Raw genomic sequence first — 22,312 nt, 5'->3', positions numbered from 1 at the left:
GGTTTCCAAAACCCTGTTAAATTACACAAGGCCCTAAGACAGGGTCAGAAATGAAGAAACTTTGGTAACTGGAGATGGTATCTCCCAACCTCATTGGTGTTTTACTGAATTTATGAAAACAGATGGAGGCAAAGATCACTAAATAGCAAGATTCTGTTTCAGTGAAAGGCTCTGCAACATGATCTGGTTTAACAAAGACTAAGCATCAATGATCTACCAGGTGCGATGCTTAATCCCTGAGGATGTGGAAAGAAAGGCATGCAAACAAAGACAGAGCACCCTGTGCAAGAATATCGGAGTACACAGGGAGGGAGTAGCCTCGTTTTGAGAATCTAAGAAAGGGAAACTGGAATCTGCCAGACATAGAGCGGGGCAGAGAAAAGAAAAGGCATTTCAGGCAGTGGACACAGGCCCGAAGTACCATTTGAAAACACACACAAACACACACACACACACACACACACACACACACACACACACACACCTCCAAAGAGCAAAGAACACTGCAATGGATGGGGCAAACTAAGCAGGCAGGACTACAAACACAGAAGACTGTGTTTGTGTTTGTGAGAAGACAAGACACTCCTGTCTTCTCACACTAAGGAGCTTAGATTCTTTGAACCCAATGAGGAATCACCAAATTTGTGATTTCAAAAGTTCACCTTGGCAGCAATGTGAAGATAGGTTTACAGGGTGAGACCAGATGCGTGACTATGGCTGAAGGCCAAGCCAATAGGAAACTGCTCATTCTGGCATGTGCTGAGAGTTCAGAAGCAAAGATGGAAGTATTTGCATTAGAGCCCTGCTCTAGGGGATGGGTTCAAAACACCAAGAACTACGTAATCCTTCTTTCCTACTTCTCGTTCAGCATCACCTTGCACTTCAAAATATCCTGTCCAGCTTCACCTGCTTTCAGCTACTCACGGAACCCAGTGTTCATGGTGCCACAGGTGAAGATAGAGATGGAGTCAGACTATGACTTCACAGACATGGATAAATACCGAAGAGAAACTGACAGTGAGACCACCCTCTAGGATGAAGCAGCTTCTCCCAGATGGGAGATGGAGAGCCTGGCTTAGTCTTCACTGGGAGGGTCTTAACTTCTCTGTGCCTGTTTCCTTCTTTATCAAACAGAGGGAGTCCGTCTGCCTATAGAAAACTGGAGATCTATTGATGAAAAGTATTGCTTAGATGCAAAGCTCTCCCCTTTGTAGTAATTAAAATACCTAAAGCTAAATATTATATTTTATTTTAAAATGCAGTTCAGCATAGAAATTCTAACATTTCTTTGGAAATAAAAAAATGCTTGTTTCCCCAAACCATAGCTAAGATAAAGGGGCAATAGTCAATTCATATTTAAAACAAATATCAATTTAAAATTGTTTAAAGGTTAGATTTAAATATAGATGTTCTCAAACAAACTTGTAATATACTTTTATGTCACTAGACCATCTTTGGAATATTTGGCAATTCTGCATATTAAGAAATGCTGAAAAGGTCCTATCTTTTCTCCCTGTCACATCCAATTTCCTAAGGGTTATATGAAAAGTTTGAACCAGCCGGGCACAGTGGCACACGCCTGTAATCCTAGCACTTTGGGAGGCCGAGGCAGGTGAATTGCCTGAGCTCAGGAGTTCGAGACCAGCCTAGGCAACACGGTGAAACCCCGTCTCTACTAAACTACAAAAAATTAGCCGGGTGTGGTGGCATGCACCTGTAGTCCCAGCTATTCGGGAGGCTGAGGCAGGAGAATCGCTTGAACCCAGGAGGCAGAAGTTGCAGTGAGCTGAGATGGCACCACTGCACTCCAGCCTAGGCAACAGAGTGAGACTCCGTATCCAAACAAAAAAAAAGTTTGAACCATCTGCATTATGGGCCTTGCTCCAGAAGTGTGACTGGGGCTTTCCCAGATTGAAAAGCCAGTTCCAAAACTCTGTTAATGAAAGAACCAATGCATCTGAGTGGATAAATGTTTCTAAAATAAAATAGTTCTTGTTAAAGTGAAATTTGAAACCACATGTTAAATCAAAATGATCCTTTAAATTAGTATCACTGGTTTTTCATACCTGGAATCACATTTCATGATACATTTGGGTGGGTCCTCCCTGCAAATTTTCAATGTTTATTCCCAAAGTCAAACTCCCATTCATGTGAACAATACAGGTTAGACAGAGGTAAGGTCACATTTTACATTACAACTTTGCAATATTAATCAACCTAGTACTTTAAAGGAATGATTGAAAACTATTTGGGAAGATAAAAACCAGTTTCAATGAAGCAAACCTATTCCTCATGAAACTTAAGATCAGTCATTTTATCTTCAATCCACATTTAATGAACACCAACCATGTTGATTTAATGCCTACTATGACCCTGACAGCCACAGTGCATCTGACACTTACTTTCTCCAAAACAACTATGATTTAAACCTTGAGTAAATCACTTGAACCTTGAGGTTAGAGTTACTATATTTGCTCAAGATGACAAATGCAGGTGCTTTCTTTTTTAAAGAAAAATGACACTAGATCATTAACACCTTGAGTATAGGACAGGTAATTGCCTCTGTAATTCCCAGCGTCTAGTGTAGTGCCTGGTCCATAGAAAGCTCTCAATAAGTGTTTGATTACATTTAATCTCAGAGCTCCCTTCCAAGGGATACTGCCAAGAGGTAAAGCTCCAAACCTCTACTCTTACTGAGAGCAGAATTTCTTAGAATTTCCAGAACCATCTCCTATGCTTAAGTATAAATTCTTGTCAGACACAGTGGCTCACACCTGTAATCCCGCTACTTGGGAGGCAGAGGTGGGGGGAATCAGCAGAGGTCAGGAGGTCAAGACCAGCCTGGGCAACATAGTGAGACCCATCTCTAAACAAATGTTTAAAAATTAGCTAGGCATGCTGGCACACACCTGTAGTCCCAGCCATTTCAGAGGCTGATGCAGGAGGATCGTTTAAGTCCAGGAGTTCAAGGCTGCAGTGAGCTATAATCATGCCACTGCACTCCAGCCAGGGAGACAGCTGGAATCCATGTCTTATAAACAATAATAATTAATTTTTAAAAAAAGTATTTATCATCCACACCAATCCTGGGGAAGCTAACAATCCACCCTTAACACATTTCAGTTTTAAAACCTGGCTGATCTGGAATAGAACTTTGTCCAAATTAAATTGTAGAAATGCTATGGATTCAAGAGTAAACCTGCTTGATTAATCAAACAAGCTGGAAAACTACTGTTAATTTCTTTGTTGTAAATTGATCACTGTAATTTTACCTTACATGTCATTTATATTTTGTATATACATGAACATTTTAATTTCCATAGCTTTTAACAGGTTGACATAATACTTCTCCATGCAGTAAGTCAGTCATTTTTTCCACTTGTAACTGTAATTCAATAAAATTTAATCCTGTCTGGTCATCTTGCTCCACATTTAATAATCTAGGTAAGCAGGCATGGATTAGAGACATAAGCTATACGTCACTTACAAAAACATCTCCAGCAAACTATCTAAACTTCTTTAAACTCCAGAGAACTATCAAAAGAATAACGCCAGCTGGCAGAAGAACGAGGACGGAGGTAGGTCAACTCAATTGTTTCTTCTCTTTCTGCCTCAAGCTGCCTAGAGCAGGAGCTACTTCTGCTCGCATGAAAGCCAAAAGCCAAAACAGACAAACCTATCCCTGCCTCAAGTATTTTACAGATTAAGCTCCTAGCTTGGCACAACCTGTTGTGATATAAGACTGTAGGACAGGCCAGGTGCAGTGGCTCACGCCTGTAATCCTAGCATTTTGGGAGGCCGAGGCAGGTGGATCACTTGAGGTCAGGAGTTTGAGACCAGCCTGGCCAATGTGATGAAACCCCATCTCTACTAAAAACACAAAAATTAGCCAGGCATGGTGGCATGCACCTGTAATCCCAGCTACTCAGGAGGCTGAGGCACAAGAATTGTTTGAACCCGAGAGGCAGAGGTTGCAGTGACCCGAGATCATGCCACTGCACTCCAGCCTGGGCAACAGAGCAAGACTCAGTCTCAAAACAAACAAACAAAGAGACTGGAGGACGAGGCTGGTTTCTCCAAAGCTCTTTAAACCTCTGTTTGGGTGTGGGTGGCCCAGGCCTGTAATCCCAGCCCTCTGGGAAGCTGAGGCAAGAGGATTGATTGCTTGAGGCCAGGAGTTCAATACCAGCCCAGGCAACATAGCAAGACCCCATCTCTACAAAAAAAAAAAAAAAAATAGAAGAAAAAAAATTATCTATTTAAGGCTATAGAAGTAAGTGTTACTGAATATAGGAATAGCTACATTGATTAAATGAGAAAAAAACTGGTTAGGTCACAACTAGGAGTCATAGGAAGACAGAATTTCAGAAATTCATACCATACCAGACAGATGTGTTTTATTAAAAAAGAAAGAAAACCCTTTAATCAGAAAGTCTGATTAAATTCAATAGTAACTCAAACTCTTAAAAAATTTCTGGAAAAGTCAACAGGATACATACATCACAGAAAAGCAGGCAGCTGCTGACAGTTCTTTGGTGGAAAAGTAAGTTGCGTACTTACCCAAGCTGCCCAAATGATTATCAAGCCAAGTTTGTTTTTCAAAAATAGGTTTTAAGATACACCAAAGAAACTATACAATACAAAAATTTAACAATGAAGTTAAAGTATATAGCAAAAGCCAAATATGACAACACACATGTATAATGTAGAAAAGAATCCTTTCAGTCCTAGAAAACTAAAATGGGGAGAACTTACTGAAGGGTAACATACATAAAATGAGTACTAATAGCAAGGAATAATCCTAAACATTTTCCCAATAAACTGACTAAGCCTCAAAAGGACAGCTTAGGAAAATGATTAACATGCAGTTTTTCTTTTTTCCTAGCCAATTCAGTTCTACTTAGATAAATCTGGTTGCCAATCAATACATATATAAATTAATTTTTTTCTGCTCAATTACTACCATTTTTTCTTTTTCACCTTTTCCCTAATTTTCTCTAGCAACACTTTTCCTTTGGTTTGATCAGTTGAACTCAAAAGGTTTGGTACCTAAAATGAGTATCAACTGTTATTGCAATAGCACTTGGGAAATGCAATCCTAGAAAAGGCGAATGTGTAACTGAGGTGCTTGACAAAGTGAAGCATCCATCCTCCATATGGTAATGTCTCCCATATTAATCACTAGGTTAATGGCTGCTCCTGGCTAGATCACAGGACCCTGCATGATACTGGAATGCTCCCTGGTGAGGTACTGCAGAGGTATGTGCAGAAACACCCACCCATTTAAGCTTTCAATAAATACAAGGCATCATTTTAAACCATTTCAGTAGAATAAATTAAAAATATTGCATTTCTATTGGCCTGCTTTGCTTCTTGAGCTGGCCTGGAGTGCTGTTTGTGACACAGAAGACACAGTAGTTAATTAGTGGCTACCCCAAGCTCTTTAGACTTCAGCACTTCTCGCTCTTCAAGCCTCAGCACCTTTTTTGCAGCAATAATGGTATTCTTCATTAGCATTGCCACTGTCATGGGGCCAACACCTCCAGGAACTGGAGTGATATACCCAGCTTTTTGTCTGACTCCTACATAGAAACAAGACAGGCAGGCTGCTTTAGTTATGGCAAAGGACATGTGTGTACTTTAATATATTATTAAACAAGCATGCAAGGAAAAAGTAACATACATAAGCATAAAACTCAAAAATCACATCTACATCATTCAAGGTTTTGTGAACACACTAGTAAAATAACATGCACATACAGAGTTGTTCAAGGAATATTTATACATCTAAGTAACCTATAAAGAAATCTATTAAAGAAATATCTAGTAGGTTAACTGTGTGGGAGTTGTAAGTATAACAATAATAAGCATTACCTCAATACCTGCCTATAGCATTTTCTTAATTTAATTTTAAGTATAATTTGTCCAAAGCAGAAAGCACAGTAATTTTTTAAAAGTGAGAAGTTAAAAAAAAAATTAACCTAATGTTAAAGTGAAAATCCTTACATACCTAGGCATGGGTTTGACTGCTTTAATAAAAACAGAAAGCTAGGAATAGGATTATCAGCATAGGCCGGGTACAGTGGTTCATGCCAGTAATCCCAGCACTCTGGGGGGCTGAGGCAGGGTGTGAGGTGGGGGAGATTGTTTGAGGCCAGGAGTTTGAAACCAGCCTGGGCAACATGGTGAAACCCCATCTCTACAAAAAATACAAAAATTAGCCAAGTGAGGTGACATGTGCCTATAGTCCCAGCTACTCAGGAAGCTGAGGCAGGAGAATTGCTCAAGCCCAGGAGGCAGAGGTTGCAGTAAGCTGAGATCCTGCCACTGTACTCCAGCCTGGGCAACAGAGAGGGATCCTGTCTCAAAAAAAAAAAAAAAAAAAAAAAAGGAAAGAAAAAAAGGATTATCAGCATAAAACTCGGATAAACATTCTATCTTAAGAACTGAAAGGAGAGGCCAGGTGCAGTGGCTCACACCTGTAATCCTAGCACTGTTAAAGGCTGAGGCAGGCGGATCACTTGAGGCCAGGAGTTCAAGACCAACCTGGCCAACACAGCCAAATTCATCTCTACTGAAAATACAAAAAATTAGCCGGCATGGTGGCTCATGTCTGTAATCCCAGCTACTTGGGTGGCTAAGGCAGAAGAATCACTTGAACCTGGGAGGTGGAGGTTGCAGTGAGCAGAGATCACACCACTGCACTACAGCCTGGGCAACAGAGTGAGACTCTGCCTCTTAAAAAAAAAAACAGAACTGAAAGAAGAAATCTACTAGTATATTCTAGTATTTCAGGGGTATGGTTTTTTCCTGGACCATTTTAACTTTCTAGGCCTGTGATCTCTCAGTGTGAAAATGAGAAATCTCTAACACTTTTTGGGAAACTCCATGGTTTAGAAAAATCACTTCATCAAATTTTCAAACTTGTTAAAAGTCAAGAAATTGCTTGAATTATGAAATAAGTCTAAGGAAAAAAACAATTCCCTGAAAAGTTTATAACTGCTCTCCATCACTATGATAAAACACCTAAAATAATTCTAGAAAAGCCATAATTTTAAAAAGGTTTCTCTAATTCTTATGAAAAGCCTACTAAGGCCAGGTGCAGTGGCTCATACCTGTAATCCCGGCACTTTGGGAGGCCAAGACGGGTGGATCACTTGAGGCCAGGAGTTCCAGACCAGCCTGGCCAACATGGTGAAACCCCGTCTCTACTAAAAATACACAAAATTAGTTGGGCGTGGTGGCCCATGCCTGTAGTCCTGGCTACTGGGGAGGCTTGAAGCACAAGAATCGCTTGAAGCTGTGAGGTGGAGGCTGCAGTGAGCCGAGATGGTGCCACTGCACTCCAGCCTGGGTGACAGAGTGAGACTGTCTCAAAAAAAAAAAAAAAAAAAAAAGAGAAAGAAACGAAGGAAGAAAGGGGTGGGGGGAGAGGAGGGGAGGGGAGGGGAAGGAAGGAAGGGAGAGAGATGGAGGGAAGGAAGGAAAGAAAGAAGGAAGGGAAGGAGAGAGGGAGGGAAAAGCATACTGACTGGGCGCAGTGGCTCACACCTATAATCCCAACACTTTGGGAGTCCCAGCTACTCGGGAGGCTGAGGCAGAAGAATAGCTTGAACCCAGGAGGCAGAGGTTGCAGTGAGCCGAGATCGCGCCACTGCACTCCAGCCTGGGCAACAGAGTGAGACTCCCATCTCAAAAAAAAAAAAAAAAAAAAAAGTAAATAATCTATCCTAAATGTCCATGAAAGGTAGTATTTATTGATTTCATTTTTAAAAATAAAATTTCACCATTTACCTTCAAAATCCACATCTCCAACCAACTTGGGTTTGGCAGTTACAGGATCGTGAACTCTATTTATTCCCACATCAATGACTGCTGCTCCTTCCTTGATCATATCTGCTGTGATCAGATTTGGAATACCTGGAAATGGAGAAAGGAAAGATCAACTTAGTACTGAAAACAGTCTACCTGTCAGATTCTTGTCTAACTTCAATTTCAAGAGACCCTGAAGAACTAATCAACATGTTTTATTAAAACCTGTTAAAAATATTAACTAAGGAACTATTTACTTTTATTATTTTTTTATTTTGGCTCCTGACAGGAAACAAAAGGAACCATTTAAACTTTATACAGTAAATATTAATATAAATATTTTGAAGCTTTAGGAATAACATTCACCCATCTAGACTATAATGGACTGCCAGAAACCGGTATTCCAATCACAACTCTATCCTCATCTTTGTAGGCAGCTCAAAGAATCATTACAAGGGGAATGATGAATAGCAGCTAGGCAGGCGAATTCTAAGATGAGGGGTACAACCTCCTCTTCTGAGGTGAAGTCCTTCCCTCCATCCCCCTTGTGTTCTTACCTGCAGCAGATATTACAATATCTGCAAGAATTGTATGTTTCTTCAACTGCTCTTTGGGAGTATATCGATGAGATATTGTAACAGTGGCATCACCTAGAAAGAAAAAAATAGATGTCTTGATTTCTGACACAAAGCTGGGATTGGATTAGGTCTCAACTAGTCAAGTCATTGTAGAAACTCAACATCTCTGAAAAATAATTGACTTACGGCCAGGTGCAGTGGCTCACGCCTGTAATCCCAGCACTTTGGGAGGCCGAGGTGGGCAGATCACCAGGTCAGGAGTTCGAGGCCAACCTGGCCAACATGGTGAAACCCCGTCTCTACTAAAAATACAAAAATTAGCTGGGCGTGGTGGCGCATGCCTGTAATCCCAGCTACTTGGGAGGCTGAGGCATGAGAATCACTTGAACCTGGAAGGTGGAGGTTGCAGTGAGCCAAGATTGTGCCACTGCACTAGCCTGGGCAACAGGGCAAGACTCCATCTCCAGGAAAAAAAAAAAAAAAAACTGACTTAATGGCTTGTGCCATGTTTTCTGAACAGCTAATTGTCATTTACTTTTTTAAAATTAATACCTAATATCATATAGCTTTAACCCATTGGTCCCAGCTCGACTGTTTTGAGTCATATAATTAAATTTATTCATCCTATTTTTAAAGCCTTTCAAGAATTTTACCTTTTCTAAGCAAAATATCACTAAAATTACTCAAGGTTGTTTTAAGTATGTTGAAAGATAGTTGAAAGTATATAGTTTTGCCTTTATTTCTGATATAATCATGTAAGGTCATTATTACAATAATTATGTGATAACTGATTGACGAGGCTTTACCTTAGAACCAATTAACAGAACCTGACAGGACACATTACAGTCATACCAATCCAATCCTTTGCAACGGCTAAAGATTTTTTTCCACTAAATGACACAGTATCTTTGAATAAGAATTGCTCCTTAGCTCCAGCTATCAAAGCTATAGCTGAAATTTTCTAATTGCCTACAACCATGCTTATACTCAAAACTTAAATTTATTTCTGAAGCTAGTTACATGATAAATGAATAATAAAGAAACTCAGGTGACACTGGGTGCAGCTTCTCTACAAAGGTTACTCCCTGAATTGTCTGTTAACAAAATTTCAACAAATACAAAGTATAACAGAGTTAATACTTCCAAACATGCACAGGATGGCTTCTGAAAGTTCTTACATGGGGAAAAAAGGACAGTGTTCCCTGAAAGCAATTTCCTTACCTCCGGGACGTTCATGCGCCCCATCTGTGTGCAGTAACATTGCAATGGGCATTCCAACGTTTTTTGACCTTCCAGCCACAACCACATTCTTCCCTAGGGTTGGAATGCCTATAAAAATATATGTATTGACATTAAAAGTAGTGCCAGTCCAAAGGAAAACAAAGTCAGATGGCCTAGAACATGAACCCAATTTTGCCTCATCAGTCAACTGGAGCTGTAACTTGCTACACATAATAAGGGCTAAAAGAAAACAGGAGAAAGCATACTACAGGCTACAAAATGTTACAGGAATGTGCACTGTCACCACTATCAAATCTTAAATTTCCTTCACTGAGGGCTGGGGCGGTGGCTCACACCTGTAATCCCAGCAGGAGGGAGGATTGCTTGAGGCCAGGGAGGCTAAGGTAGGAGAATTGCTTGAGGCCAGGAGTTTGAGACCAGCCTGGGCAGCATGATGAAACCTCTGACTCTTAAAGAAAAAATTAAAAAGAAAAATAGAGGCCACGCGCGATGGCTCACACCTGTAATCCCAGCACTTTGGGAGGCCAAGGCAGGTGGATCACAAGGTCAGGAGATCAAGACCATCCTGGCTAACACGGTGAAACCCCGTCTGTACTAAAAATACGAGAAAAAAAAAAAGTTAGCCAGGCATGGTGGTGGGCACCTGTAGTCCCAGCTACTCAGGAGGCTGAGGCAGGAGAATGGCATGAACTCAGGAGGTGGAGCTTGCAGTGAGTCGAGATCACGCCACTGCACTCCAGCCTGGGCAACAGAGCAAGACTCCGTCTCAAAAACAAAAAAAAAGAAAAAGAAAAATAGAAAATTTCCTTCACTGAGACTTCTGGATTAAAAAGCAAAAACTGTCATAGGCAACTGTTAAGGGCAGGCACGATGGCTCATGCCTATAATCCCAGCACTCTGGGAGGCTGAGGGGGCGGATCACCTGAGGCCTAGTTCGAGACCAGCTTGGTCAATATGGTGAAACCTGTCTCTACTAGAAATAAAAAAATTAGCTGGGCATGGTGGCACGTGCCTGTAATCCCAGCTACTCAGGAGGCTGAGGCATGAGAATCGCTTGAACTCAGGAGGCAGAGGCTGCAGTGAGCCAAGATCGCGCCACTGCACTCCAGCCTGGGTGACAGAGCAAGACCCTGTCTCAAAAAAAACAAAAAACAAAAAAAAAACTGTTAAGAGAGGTAAACTTTGGGGAGTAAGACTAGAGGATATGCAGTAGGGTTTCCACTCTTTGGGACTGTATGAGTTTTTACCATTTGCCAGTACTACTTTTATAATATTAACACAGACATGCAATTCTGGGATATACCTACCAGTTCGCTTGATTATTTCCCACACACCCCATGGAGTAGCCGGTAACATGGAATACTGATCCAAACACATTCGTCCTACATTAATTACATGAAAGCCATCAACATCCTTGTCTGGAGAAACAGCATTGCAGATCCTTCTCTCATCAATATGCTCTGAAAAAGAAATTGGCACAGTTGCCTTAAATCACCACCGCATAGTCAGCACTGCCTGACTCCAGCTTATCTGCTTCGCAAGGAAATCTATTCTTCTACAGCTTGCCTCTGAGATGTACTTCATCTGCATGGAAGGAACTCGCATAAGCAAAGCCAAACACCAATAGCAAAGCCAATATCGTCTATCACAGCTGCTTCCCTCCACTGTCCTTTGTATCAAGACCACAATACTAAATCAAGGCGTAATTGGTATTCTGAGTTGGTCTGTCCCATTTCTAATAAAATATTCACTCTTTTGAGTTTATTTTGCCTTTAAGCCAAATCCACATGAAGAACCAGGTGTATAAAGTAACAAGGCCTTTTTACCCCTCAGAAACCATTTTAGGTAGGGCATGGTAGTTCATGCCTGTAATCCCAGCACTTTGGGAAGCACAGAGTCCAAGACCAGCCCAGGCAACACAGACAGACTTTCATTTCTAGGAAAAATGTAAAAATTAGCTGGGCATGGTGGACATGCCTATAGTCCTAGCTATTTGGGAGGCTAAGGCAGGAGGATCCCTTGAACCCAGGAGCTTGAGCATGCAATGAGCTATGATTGTACCATTGCACTCTAGCCTGGGTGACAGAGTGAGACAAGGAAAGGAGAGGGAGGAGGAGGGGGATGGGGAGGGAGAGAGAGAGGGAGGGAGAGGGAAAGGAGCAGAAGCAGCAGCAATCATGTTAAATGGAGTCCAAAACTCACCTGGAAGAGGCAACTGAACAAGGAGGCCATCTACATTATCATCATTATTCAGTTTATTGATTAAATTCAACAATTCTTCCTCTGAAATTGAAGCTGGTTTCATAATTGTCTCACTGTTGATTCCTATTATAAGAAATTTTGAGGTTAAAAAAATTTTTGAGGCATTTAATGAGCACTGCTATGTTGCCTACCATACTTGGCTACCATACGGGTTTTGTATCATCACACTCATCCCTAAAAGCTGAAGTAGCTCAAGGAACCTAAAAAAGTAACTTCACAAATATATACACCAGAGAATACTAGCTTAACACATCCTGTATACCTCATTCTATGCAATCTTCATTAACCTTATTTTACAGACAGACTGAGGCTCAGAGAGGTTTAAAAATAAGCGAGCTAGGCCAGGCACAGTAGCTCACGCCTGTAATCCCAGCACTTTGGGAGGCCAAGGCCAGCGGATCACGAGGTCAGGAGATGGAGACCATCCTGGCTAACACGGTGAAAACCCGTCTCTACTAAAAATACAAAAAATTAGCCAGGCTTGGTGGAACGCGCCTGTAGTCCCAGCTACTTGGGAGGCTGAGGCAGGAGAATCGCTTGAACCTGGGAGGCGGGGGTTGCAGTGAGCTGAGATCGCACCACTGCATTCCAGCCTGCGCAACAGAGCGAGACTCCGTCTCTAAATAAATAAATAAATAAATAAGCGAGCTAATAATACAGCCAGTCTTTCTGGTTCCAAAATCCATGTTCTTTTTTTCTGCACCACACTACCTCCCAATGTCTTAAAATGCCATGGCTTGGCCAGGCACAGTGGCTCACGCCTGTAATCCCAGCACTTTGGGAGGCTGAGGCAGGCGCAGATCACCTGAGGCAGGTGGATCACCTAAGGTCGGGAGTTCGACACCAGCCTGACCAACATGGAGAAACCCCATCTCTACTAAAAATACAAAATTCGCCAGGCATGGTGGCCCATGCCTATAATCCCAGCTACTCGGTAGGCTGAGGCAGGAGAATTACTTGAACCCGGGAGGCGGAGGTTGCGGAGAGCCGAGATCACGCCGTTGCACTCCAGCCTGGGCAACAAGAGCGAAATGCCGTCTCAAAAAACAAAACAAAATGCCATGGCTTGCCATTATCTAGAGGTTTCTAAAGGCTTTCAATTAAAAGAGCAGGAGGCCTCACTCCTCAATAATAAAGAACAGAGAAAACCACAGGCTTACAGGCCAGTAACCCCACCCAGCCACGCGAGTGGTTTCACAGCCCTTCGAAGGAAAGGCCACCTGCTGCTCAGACCACAGGCCCACAGATGGGCAGGCAGAGGCATATCTGAGCCTGCCCACCCACCTCTTGTCCACAGAGACACAGTAATCTGTGGTACCGTGAGACCTAGAACACAAACCCCATCATCCAGACCTGAACTGCTTCTAAACTGCATGTTTGGCTTTAGAACCAATCGGTGAAGAACTTGAAAGCTATTTCCCAGAAGTCAGAGTCATTTCCTTCAAATCTACGACTGTGTTCCTGACCTCATCACTGAGGTCACCTAATACTGTATTGCTCAATCATGCCCCCTAAGCCTCTAAGGCTTTAAGCTGCAAACACTCAAACACCTCCACTGGAGACCCATTATTGCTCAAGGAAAGCAAATGTAAAATGCATTCAGGGTCACCTATCAAATATAAAGACTAAGAACAGAATGTAGCTTATATTCTTTCCAGAAGCCACAGAGAATACCAACCAGTATCTCCTGTCCTACTGTATAAACCCCGAAAGATATAGTCTGATTTCCTATGACAAAGTTTTGGGATACAGTTCAATCACATTAGCCTCCTCTGCTTGGGTTTCCTAATCAGAAAAAAGAAATCATAAATTAGAATGGACTTTGCCTCATATAAACCTCAACTGAACCGCAGTCGAGGTCTCAGAAGGACACATACCCACAACTGCAGCTGCCCTGGTTTTGTTGAGGACATAGGAGTGACTTGCAGGATTCTCGCCAACCAGGATCACACTCAGGTGTGGCCGTTTGTTGCCTGAGGCCACCCACTCTTCTACCTCCTGCCGCACTTCCTGCTTGATCTGCTGGGCCAGTTTCCTTCCAGAAATGACAACAGCTTCATTTCTGCAGAAGGCAACAGAGTCACAAAACCAAATAACTTGAATTTTTATAAAAACTAAAACTCTGCCAGGTGTAGTGGCTTATGCCTGTAATCCCAGCACTTCGGGAGGCCGGGGCAGGAGGATGGCTTGAGCCCAGGAGTTTGAGACTGGCCTGGGCAACATGGCAAAACCCTGTCTCTGCTAAATAAATAAATAAATGAATGAATATATCCAGCTACATATGGAGGGGGATAAAGTTGATAGAAATCATTATTATCATTAATTTGAAGCTCAGGGAGTTTAAGTGACTGACAGCGCTTGGTCAAGCTGAGTCTCACATCAGTCTGGGCTCTTAACTGCTACACCACCCTGCGCCCTGATCATTACTAAGTGTTTTACAGTTTTAATTTGCAATTGTTTGACCCCTCACCATGAGGTTAAATAGTTTTTCTTATCTGCTTATATGCCATTTGTAGTTCGTGTTTTGTCCCTGTTGTTAGCAGCCAGGCATGTATTTCAAATCATTTCCCAGTCAACTGACTTCATTTTTATGGTGGTTTAAATCGATAAATTATATTCTGTAGTTGAATAAACAAACAATATAGGCCGGGCACGATGGCTCACGTTTGTAATCCCAGCACTTTGGGAGGCCGAGGAGGGCAGATCACAAGGTAAGGAGTTCGAGACCAGCCTGGCCAACACATGAAACCCTGTCTCTACTAAAAATACAAAAATTAGCTGGGCGTAGTGGTGGGCTCCTGTAATCCCAGCTACTCAGGTGGCTGAGGCAGGAGAATCACTTGAAACCAGGAGGCAGAGGTTGCGGTGAGCTGAGATTGTGCCACTGCACTCCAGCCTCGGTGACAGAGCTAGACTCCGTCTCAAAAATAAACAAACAAACAAACAACATACTGGACAGGTCAAACATCAAAATGACCACCACTCCCCACAGTCCCTTCTGGGGAAGACTTTCCTGGTAAGAATAGGGGCAGGGCAGGGGACTGGAGGAAGCTCCTTCTCACAGTTGGCAATGTGCTCTTCCCAGGGACCCCACCATATCATCCAAAGCTGACAGACCAGGAGTGAGTATGTGACGCCAAGGGCAACAATCTCTAGGCTGGCCAGTGGTCCAGTTGGCGCAAAAGCTTAGCTCAACAGAGCAGTGAGAGTTAGTTGAACCAGTAAGAGCTCGTCCCTGAGGCAGTTCAAACTAGAACCACAGAACAAAGACAGAAAGAATAGGCAGAATAATAGTCACACCAATGGGAGACAACAGGGCAAGAAATCAGAAAACTGTTGCTGAGGTGGGGAGCAAGAAGAAAAATCAGGATCTAGAAGAACCTCCAGTTCCCAAAACCATGTTCAGCTGCCCGAAAGGCTGTCTCTTCCCAAAGAGAACTGCTTATGCAACTCTTCCTGGGTTCCATGAAACCCAAATGTGGAAGAGTCCCAGTTTTCCTATTTTCACACATGTCCTTACAGTAAAGTGCCCATTACTTAAAGATGAGCATCTGGCCCAGCGTGGTAGCTCAAGCCTGTAATCCCAGCACTTTAGGAGGCCGAGGAGGGTGGATTGCTTGAGGTCAGGAGTTCCAGACCAGCCTGGTCAACATGGCAAAACCCCGTCTCTGCTAAAAATACAAAAATTAGCCAGGCATGGTGGTGCGCGCCTATAATCCCAGCTACTCAGGAGGCTGAGGCAGGAGAATTGCTTGAACCCAGGAGGCAGAGGTTACAGTGAGCTGATATCACCCCACTGCACTCTAGCCTGGGCGACAGAGAAAGACTGCATCTCAAAAAACTAAACTAAACTAAACTAACTAAACTAAACTAAACTAAACTAAACTAAACTAAACTAAACTAAACTAAACTAAACTAAACTAGATGAGCATCTCTTCCTTAAGTAAAATGATCCCATTAAAAAAAGCCTTTCCCTTTAGATCTCTGTCCTTGGTGTCATGAAGACTGCTCTAACCTCAAGACCAATGAAGTAATCTCCTCTTATATTCTAAAACCTAACATCAAGGTACTGAATATCCTGTAGGGTCAGATAAAATTAATTCTCAAGATAACTGCTAATTTATTTATTTATTTTTTTTGAGACAGAGTCTTGCTCTGTTGCCCAGGCTGGAGCAATCTCAGCTCACTGCAGCCTCCCAAGTTCATGCAATTCTCCAGCTTTTGCCTCCATAGCTGAGAATACAGGCACCCACCACTGCACCCGGCCAGTAACTGCTAATTTAAATGGGATTTTAAAGCTTTCACAATCTTTAGGCCTTCAATAAGTGTTTTTTATTGCATTATGATTAAATACCAACTTTAAACCAAATCTCAACATCTTAGATATAATGCAATAATCTTATATATAAACTTTATCTTAATCTGTATTGCATCTTGTGAAGTATTAAATTATTATAATCTGGCCAGGCACGGTGGCTCATGCCTGTAATCCTAGCATTTTGGGAGGCCAAGGTGGGCAGATCACTTGAGGTCAGGGGTTTGAGACCAGCCTGGCCAACATGGCAAAACCCCGCCTCTACTAAAAATACAAAAATTTGCCAGGCATGGTGGCAGGACCCTGTAATTGTAATCTCAGCTACTCGGGAGCTGAGGTAGGAGAATATCTCGAACCCAGGAGGCATAGGTTGCAGTGAGCCAAGATCACGCCACTGCACTCCAGACTGTGTAACAGGGCAAGACTCCATCTCAAAAAAAGAAAAAAGTTACAATCTTACAGCAAATCAAATACTTTTACCCTGATTTTATATAATACTAGCATGGCACAACATATAATAGCATTTAATTATACCCATGGTATATGAAGAAATTGAAAACATATTAATATTCACAATTCCATTTCAGAATTAGAGTCGAAGAGGACTTCATTAAAAGGGTTTTGCAGGCCGGGCATGGTGGCTCACATCTGTAATCCCAACACTTCGGGAAGCCAAGGTAGGCAGATCATGAGGTCAGGAGATTGAGACCATCCTGGCTCATATGGTGAAACCCCGTCTCTACTAAAAATACAAAAAATTAGCCGGGCATGGTGGCACGCACCTGTAGACCCAGCTACTTGGGAGGCTGAGGCAGGAGAATCGATTGAACCCGGGAGGCAGAGGTTGCAGTGAGCAGAGACTGCCGTGAGCGGAGATCGTGCCACTGCACTCCAGCCTGGGCAACAGAGTCAGACTCCATCTCAAAAAAAAAAAATTAAAATAGGGGGGTTTTGCTGATACAAATACACCTGGCAACATTCCTCATTCCTGATTTGTATTAGTACCTGGAATGCCCACCGCAGGCCAAAAATACATTCCTAATCCTGGAACACTACAGAGTGAAAGACTACTTTAAAACGGCTTAGAACAGTCATTTATGTTGAATGAAATAACAAACATATATAATGTGCCAGGCATATATGTTCAATAAAACTAATTTCTTACTCTTTTCTCTTGGTTTTATATATATATGTATATATACACACACATACACATGTATCCTTAAAATAGATACACTTACACATAAGGAGATATATATAAGTATATACACTATATGTATATCTAGTCAGTGAGAATGACTTAGCTTGCACCTCATAAAAAGTTTCTTTTGAAAGCAGTAAACTTAGAGAAAATGGTATTAGCACATTCAGATAAAATCATATACTGAAGTTAAGGACACAGGGTTCTGGGAAAAGCCAGTGTTCCAAGTCCCAAACTTTGCTTCCAAAAGCAGGTTCTGGATGTTATGCCAATTTGCTTAAAAAAAAAAAAAGAAAAGAAAGAAAAACAGTCAAAGAGTAACAAGAACCAAAAACAAAGTCACATGCAATGAATATCTTTCATAGTATAACTGTCAGCCCTCCTCTGCTTCCCACAACTCTGCAAAATGTGAAATACAGCCTTGGGAGTGAGTCATTAACTAATTTAGCATCATCTCTTTTGCCAAGGGGCAGATTAACTGCTACCCCAAAATAAACAGGGAAATGGAGAGTCAGCTAAGTCCCACGGGGAATCCAAAATTGTAACTATATTAGCTAACATTTATCCCAGAATTAAATGCATTCACAGATGTGTTTAGAAAAAATTCCCAGGGCTGGGCATGGTGGCACAGGCCTTGTAATCCCAGCATTTTGGGAGGCCAAGTTCAAGACTAGCGTGGGCAACATGGTGAGACCCCATCTCTACTAAAAGTTAAAAAAAAAAAAAATTAGCCAGGCATGGTGGTATGCTCCTGTGGTCCCAGTTACTCACAAGCTGAGGTGGGAGGATCACTTGAGCCCAGGAGGTCAAGGCTGCAGTAAGCCGTGATTGCAGCACTGCACTCCAACCTGACCTAGGGAGAGATTCCCCTGCCAAAAAAGAAAAAAAAAAAGGAAAGAAAAAAATCCCATTAAGATAGGTAATCAACAGAATAGGAAGAAGTCAAGAGGACTGTTCAAATAAAATCCAAAACTGTGGCTCATGCCTGTAATCCCTGCATTTTGGGAGGTCAAGGTGGGTGGATCATTTGAGGTCAGGAGGTCGAGACCAGCCTGGCCAACATGGTGAAACCCTGTCTCTACTAAAAATACAAAAATTAGCAGGGCATGGTGGTGTGCGCCTATAGTCCCAGCTGTTTGGGAGGCTGAGGTAGGAGAACAGCTTGAACCCAGGAGGCAGAGGTTGCAGTGAGCCAAGATTGCACCATTGCACTCCAGCCTGGGCAACAAAGTAAGACTCCGTCTCAAAAAATAAAATAAAATTCAAAACTAAAATCCAAGTGAGTAGCATCTTCACTTTCCTTTTAATTCAATAGCTTACAGTACTGTAATTTTCCATGAGAAATTAGTATCAGGACATTTTACAATTCATAATCAAGTGATTTAGGGAAGAGTTGTTATCAATTATTAATGGGAAAAATAATGAGTGAAGGAAGACATAATGGAGAAAGGAACAAACATCTATTAAACACTAGGTGTTTTGCTTACACTTTAACATATATTACTCTGTTACCTTGGGACTATTATAATAACACTGTAATACAGAAGATGAAACTGAGGATAGTAGAAACAAGATTCAAAGGCAAACTTCTGCCTCTAAAGTCCATTGACTTCCTAATCCCACTGTCTCCTAGGCTACTATTTCTCCAACCATAGGTTTATGTTCCTGAAACTCTCATACCATCCAACAAAGAAAAAAAAAAAAAGAATGCAGACTCATATTTTTAAAAGGATACAACTTTTTAAAAATAAGCAGTATTTAAAAATAAACAGTATTTTAAAAAATAAGCAGCAGTAAGAAAGCAATATGTGGGAATTGTAAATAGCAAATGTGCAGTACAGATAATATGGATTGCTTTCAGAGATGTGGATGAAGCTTACTTGTTCTTTCAGAAAGGTAGTGAAAAGAGCATTTGTTATTGGAGAGTGTAGACAAACTGGCCCAGTTCTTTAGGTAATGAATGAGAGCATCTTTATAAATCTCTTTTGGACCATGGAAGCCTAGGAAAGGTCTGGTCCACAGTCACATGAGGCCAGCACTCAGGAAGAGGGAGAAGGGGAGAAAACACACAGTAACGAAACATGGGGGAGGTCAAGAGTCAGACCAGGGAAAACCCTGAAAGTCCCCTCCCACGTTTTCCTTCAAGAACTCATTGCTCCAACAAGCAGCGCCTTTGAAATATTTCTAACAGCATTTCCGCACTGACTGGAAATTACACGCGTGTTCTGCCCCTTGTCAGGAACATGAGCTCCATTAAGAACAGTTTTTCTCATCTTTGAATTCGCACAGCTTGGCATAGTGTCTGGTACACAGTGAACGTTAGATGAAAAAAAGAAGGGGCTGATGTTGTAAGGTGCAGGGCTCTAACAATGCCAACAATGCCAGCGCTCTAATGACCGACCAAATCACCTTCCCAAGGAAACCCAAAAATGCAAACAGAGCTTTTCCTTTCCTCCTCCCCTGTATATTTTTCCCAATTTTGTTATTGTGGTAAAATTCACATAACATAAACCTTATCAACTTTTTTTTTTTTTTTTTTTTTTGAGACAGGGTCTCGCTCTGTCGCCCAGACTGGAGGGCAGTGGTGCAATCACGGCTCACTGCAGCCTCGAACTCCTGGGCTCAAGCGATTCTCGTGCCTCAGCCTCGGCGCGTGTCACCACGCCCGGCCCATCTTAACCATTTTTAAGTGCAGTTCAGTGGTATTAAATACGTTCATATGTTGTGCAACCATCACCACCATCCATCTTCAGAACTCTTCATCTTGTAAAACTGAAATTCTGCAAGTACCGCTGAAATATGGGTACTTGTCACTCTCCATTCCCCCTTTCCCTAAGGCCCTGGGAGCCTCCCGGATGTTTGCCACCTCTATGTACGCAGCCCGGCACTGACAGGCTCTGGTGGGCTGCAGCCAAAGCTAGGGTGCCCAGAGTCCGTTCATGTTCCTGGCAGAGCGGAGGCAGCGCGGGCCACTCCCACCGGCGGAGGGAGGAGGGCGGCGCGGGGACCCCGAGCAAGTCGGCTCCGCGATTTCATCAGCTGCAGCAGCGCCCTCCGCCGCTAGGGTCCCCGCAAGGACAACTCGCCGAGGGCTGCTCTTTTGGAACCCTCGCCTGTTCTCCCCCAGACGACTCTCAGCATCCCAGCCAGAGGCGGCCGGCGCTGTCGGAAGGCTCCGCGTAAACTGATGCCTTCGCGTTCCGCACGCCACCCCCGTCCCGCCCGCCGACTGGCCACGGGCCCCGGCGACGCCCCGAGTCGCAGGAGAGCGGCTCCCTCCGAAAGGCGGGCTTCGGGTACCAGCCCTCCGCGCCGAGGAAGCGCCCCAGTCGAGAGCTGCGGCGGCGCTCGGTGCCACGTCGCCCCGCCACACCCCTCAGCGGCCACCACCGCCGGGGCGGAGATGTTCGGGAAGGACTTCCCTCGGTGTCCCTCGGGGGCCCGGCGTGCCCCTCGCCCTCCGTTCCCCTCAGCTTTCCGCGCTGACCGAGCTCTGTGACCCTCTTACCGAACTGCCGCGAGGTGGAAAGGGCGAAGGCGAAGGGAGCAGCTGTGCGCGGGCTGCAGCAGCCGGGCAGCCAAAGCAGACATTAGAGAAGTCGCAGCCATAGACCGCGCCGGTGACTGCGCCGGGAGGGAAGCGCGCGCGCGGGCCACGCGGTTATACTGCGGCCTCGTGGCAGGCCCCGCCTCCCTCCGCCACCCATTGGTCCCTGCCGCATGCCACTGGCTGTCTGTTGAGCCAGGTGGAGCCGAAGGGGCCAACCGGTTTTCTTTATTAAACGTAAGCGAAGTCCGAAAGAGCCCTGCTTTTGATTGGAGCCAGAAGAGCCTGGAGCGAGGTCCTGTAAGGCGCTGAAGCCTCGGCAACGTGCCATGATAGGCTGAGGAAGTCAAACTCCTGCCTGACGCCGCTAGTGTCACCGAAGGCCGGACAACACAAGAGAAAAGTTCATTCATTCATTCGTTGAACAATTATATGAGCGCCTACTGTGTGCCAAGCACTGTAAAGGGTGGATGAAAAGACAAGCTGATAGAATGCCAACGAACAGAAGTAAAAGGAATGATGGAGTTAGAAAATCACCATTTTCCAAAATCAGTACATGGTGGCGCGTGACTACAGTACCAGCTACTGGGGAGGCTGAGGTGGAAGGATCACCTGAGTTCAGGAGGTTGAGGCTGCAGTGAGCTGAAGGCGCGCCACTGCACTCCAGCCTGGGCGACGAGAGTGAGACCATATCTCAAAACAACAACAAAAAAAGTAAAATCATAAAAGATATTCAGAGACAGACGTCAGGGTTGCATGTGCAACCCTGATTCAGAAGCAGCAATAGATGTCAAAACAACTGGGTGAAAGTTGGATGAGGAGCAAGATATTTACATATAGGGTTGCCAGATCTAGCAAATAAAAACACAAGATGCCCAATCAAATCAGAATTTTAGATAAACACTTTGGGAGGTCATATTTATACTTTATTTATGGCTTATCTGGAATTCAGATTCAACTGGGCTTCCTGTATTTTTTCCCGCAAACTTTTTGCATAGTCTCAAAGTATCTCTCCCGCAAGGAAACTTAAGGAGGGCAGGGCGCGGTGGCTCACTTCTGTAATCCCCAGCTCTTTGGGAGGCCAAGGCGGACGGATCACCTGAGGCCAGGAGTTCGAGACCAGCCTGGCCAATGTGTTGAAACCCCCGTCTCTACTAAAAACACAAAAAATTATCTGAGCATCGTGGCGGACGCTGTAATCCCAGCTACTGGGGAGACTGAGGCATGAGAATCGCTTGAATCTGGGAGGCAGAGGTTGCAGGGAGCCGAGACTGTGCCACTGCACTTCAGCCTGGGCAACAAAAAGACTCTGTCTCAAAAAACAAAACAAACAAACAAAGAACAGGGGAAACCAA

General features: G+C 43.5%; 2 protein-coding genes across 5 annotated transcripts in view, besides 6 other annotated features; one reads left to right on the top strand and one right to left on the bottom strand.

Annotated features, from left to right (window-relative positions):
* Positions 1-3,419, top strand: part of SLC4A5 (solute carrier family 4 member 5) — a 127,175-nt gene extending 123,756 nt beyond the window's left edge. For both annotated transcript variants that reach the window (NM_133478.3, NM_001386136.1), the window contains one exon: positions 869-3,419. The gene's annotated coding sequence lies outside the window, so the exon portion shown is untranslated. The remainder of the gene's footprint in view (positions 1-868) is intronic.
* MTHFD2 (methylenetetrahydrofolate dehydrogenase (NADP+ dependent) 2, methenyltetrahydrofolate cyclohydrolase) lies at positions 2,096-21,046 on the bottom strand. Of its 3 annotated transcripts, NM_001410192.1 has the most exons (9): positions 20,919-21,046; positions 18,182-18,279; positions 13,772-13,956; positions 11,835-11,957; positions 10,940-11,092; positions 9,612-9,719; positions 8,370-8,462; positions 7,795-7,920; positions 2,096-5,582 (listed from the first exon to the last, which is right to left on the bottom strand). In NM_001410192.1, exons 4-9 carry the CDS (start codon positions 11,935-11,937, stop codon positions 5,419-5,421), a joined length of 747 nt encoding a protein of 248 aa, NP_001397121.1. In that variant the 5' UTR covers positions 11,938-11,957; positions 13,772-13,956; positions 18,182-18,279; positions 20,919-21,046; the 3' UTR covers positions 2,096-5,418. The 3 variants fall into 3 exon arrangements, with proteins under 3 accessions (NP_001397121.1, NP_006627.2, XP_006711987.1); NM_006636.4 differs by lacking the exon at positions 18,182-18,279; XM_006711924.3 differs by lacking the exons at positions 13,772-13,956; positions 18,182-18,279.
* Positions 12,824-13,403: an enhancer, noted in NCBI's record as "H3K27ac-H3K4me1 hESC enhancer chr2:74433385-74433964 (GRCh37/hg19 assembly coordinates)". NCBI's record gives its function as "activates a minimal SCP1, AML or CMV promoter by ChIP-STARR-seq in primed H9 embryonic stem cells {active_cell/tissue: H9 hESC(primed)}" and the evidence as "EXISTENCE:reporter gene assay evidence [ECO:0000049][PMID:30033119]".
* Positions 13,194-13,293: an enhancer, noted in NCBI's record as "active region_16048". NCBI's record gives its function as "activates an Ori minimal core promoter by ATAC-STARR-seq in GM12878 lymphoblastoid cells {active_cell/tissue: GM12878}" and the evidence as "EXISTENCE:reporter gene assay evidence [ECO:0000049][PMID:35858748]".
* Positions 20,288-20,377: a silencer, noted in NCBI's record as "silent region_11656". NCBI's record gives its function as "represses an Ori minimal core promoter by ATAC-STARR-seq in GM12878 lymphoblastoid cells {active_cell/tissue: GM12878}" and the evidence as "EXISTENCE:reporter gene assay evidence [ECO:0000049][PMID:35858748]".
* Positions 20,508-20,787: a silencer, noted in NCBI's record as "silent region_11655". NCBI's record gives its function as "represses an Ori minimal core promoter by ATAC-STARR-seq in GM12878 lymphoblastoid cells {active_cell/tissue: GM12878}" and the evidence as "EXISTENCE:reporter gene assay evidence [ECO:0000049][PMID:35858748]".
* Positions 20,826-21,384: an enhancer, noted in NCBI's record as "NANOG-H3K27ac-H3K4me1 hESC enhancer chr2:74425404-74425962 (GRCh37/hg19 assembly coordinates)". NCBI's record gives its function as "activates a minimal SCP1, AML or CMV promoter by ChIP-STARR-seq in primed H9 embryonic stem cells {active_cell/tissue: H9 hESC(primed)}" and the evidence as "EXISTENCE:reporter gene assay evidence [ECO:0000049][PMID:30033119]".
* Positions 20,978-21,117: a silencer, noted in NCBI's record as "silent region_11654". NCBI's record gives its function as "represses an Ori minimal core promoter by ATAC-STARR-seq in GM12878 lymphoblastoid cells {active_cell/tissue: GM12878}" and the evidence as "EXISTENCE:reporter gene assay evidence [ECO:0000049][PMID:35858748]".

Source organism: Homo sapiens, chromosome 2, assembly GCF_000001405.40.
Source record: "Homo sapiens chromosome 2, GRCh38.p14 Primary Assembly".
NCBI lineage: Eukaryota > Metazoa > Chordata > Mammalia > Primates > Hominidae > Homo > Homo sapiens.
This window is presented reverse-complemented; position numbering and strand designations above follow the sequence as displayed.

Bases quoted from the DNA above. Each gene is read 5' to 3' on its own strand.
- MTHFD2 (NM_006636.4), bottom strand. From the start codon at position 21,019: ATGGCTGCGACTTCTCTAATGTCTGCTTTGGCTGCCCGGCTGCTGCAG. The intron at 11,093-11,834 runs GTGAGTTTTGGA...TTTCTTTTTCAG, and splicing joins TGTTCAGTTGCCTCTTCCAG to AGCATATTGATGAGAGAAGG. The intron at 7,921-8,369 runs GTAAGAACACAA...CTCCATTTCCAG, and splicing joins TATTGTAATATCTGCTGCAG to GTATTCCAAATCTGATCACA.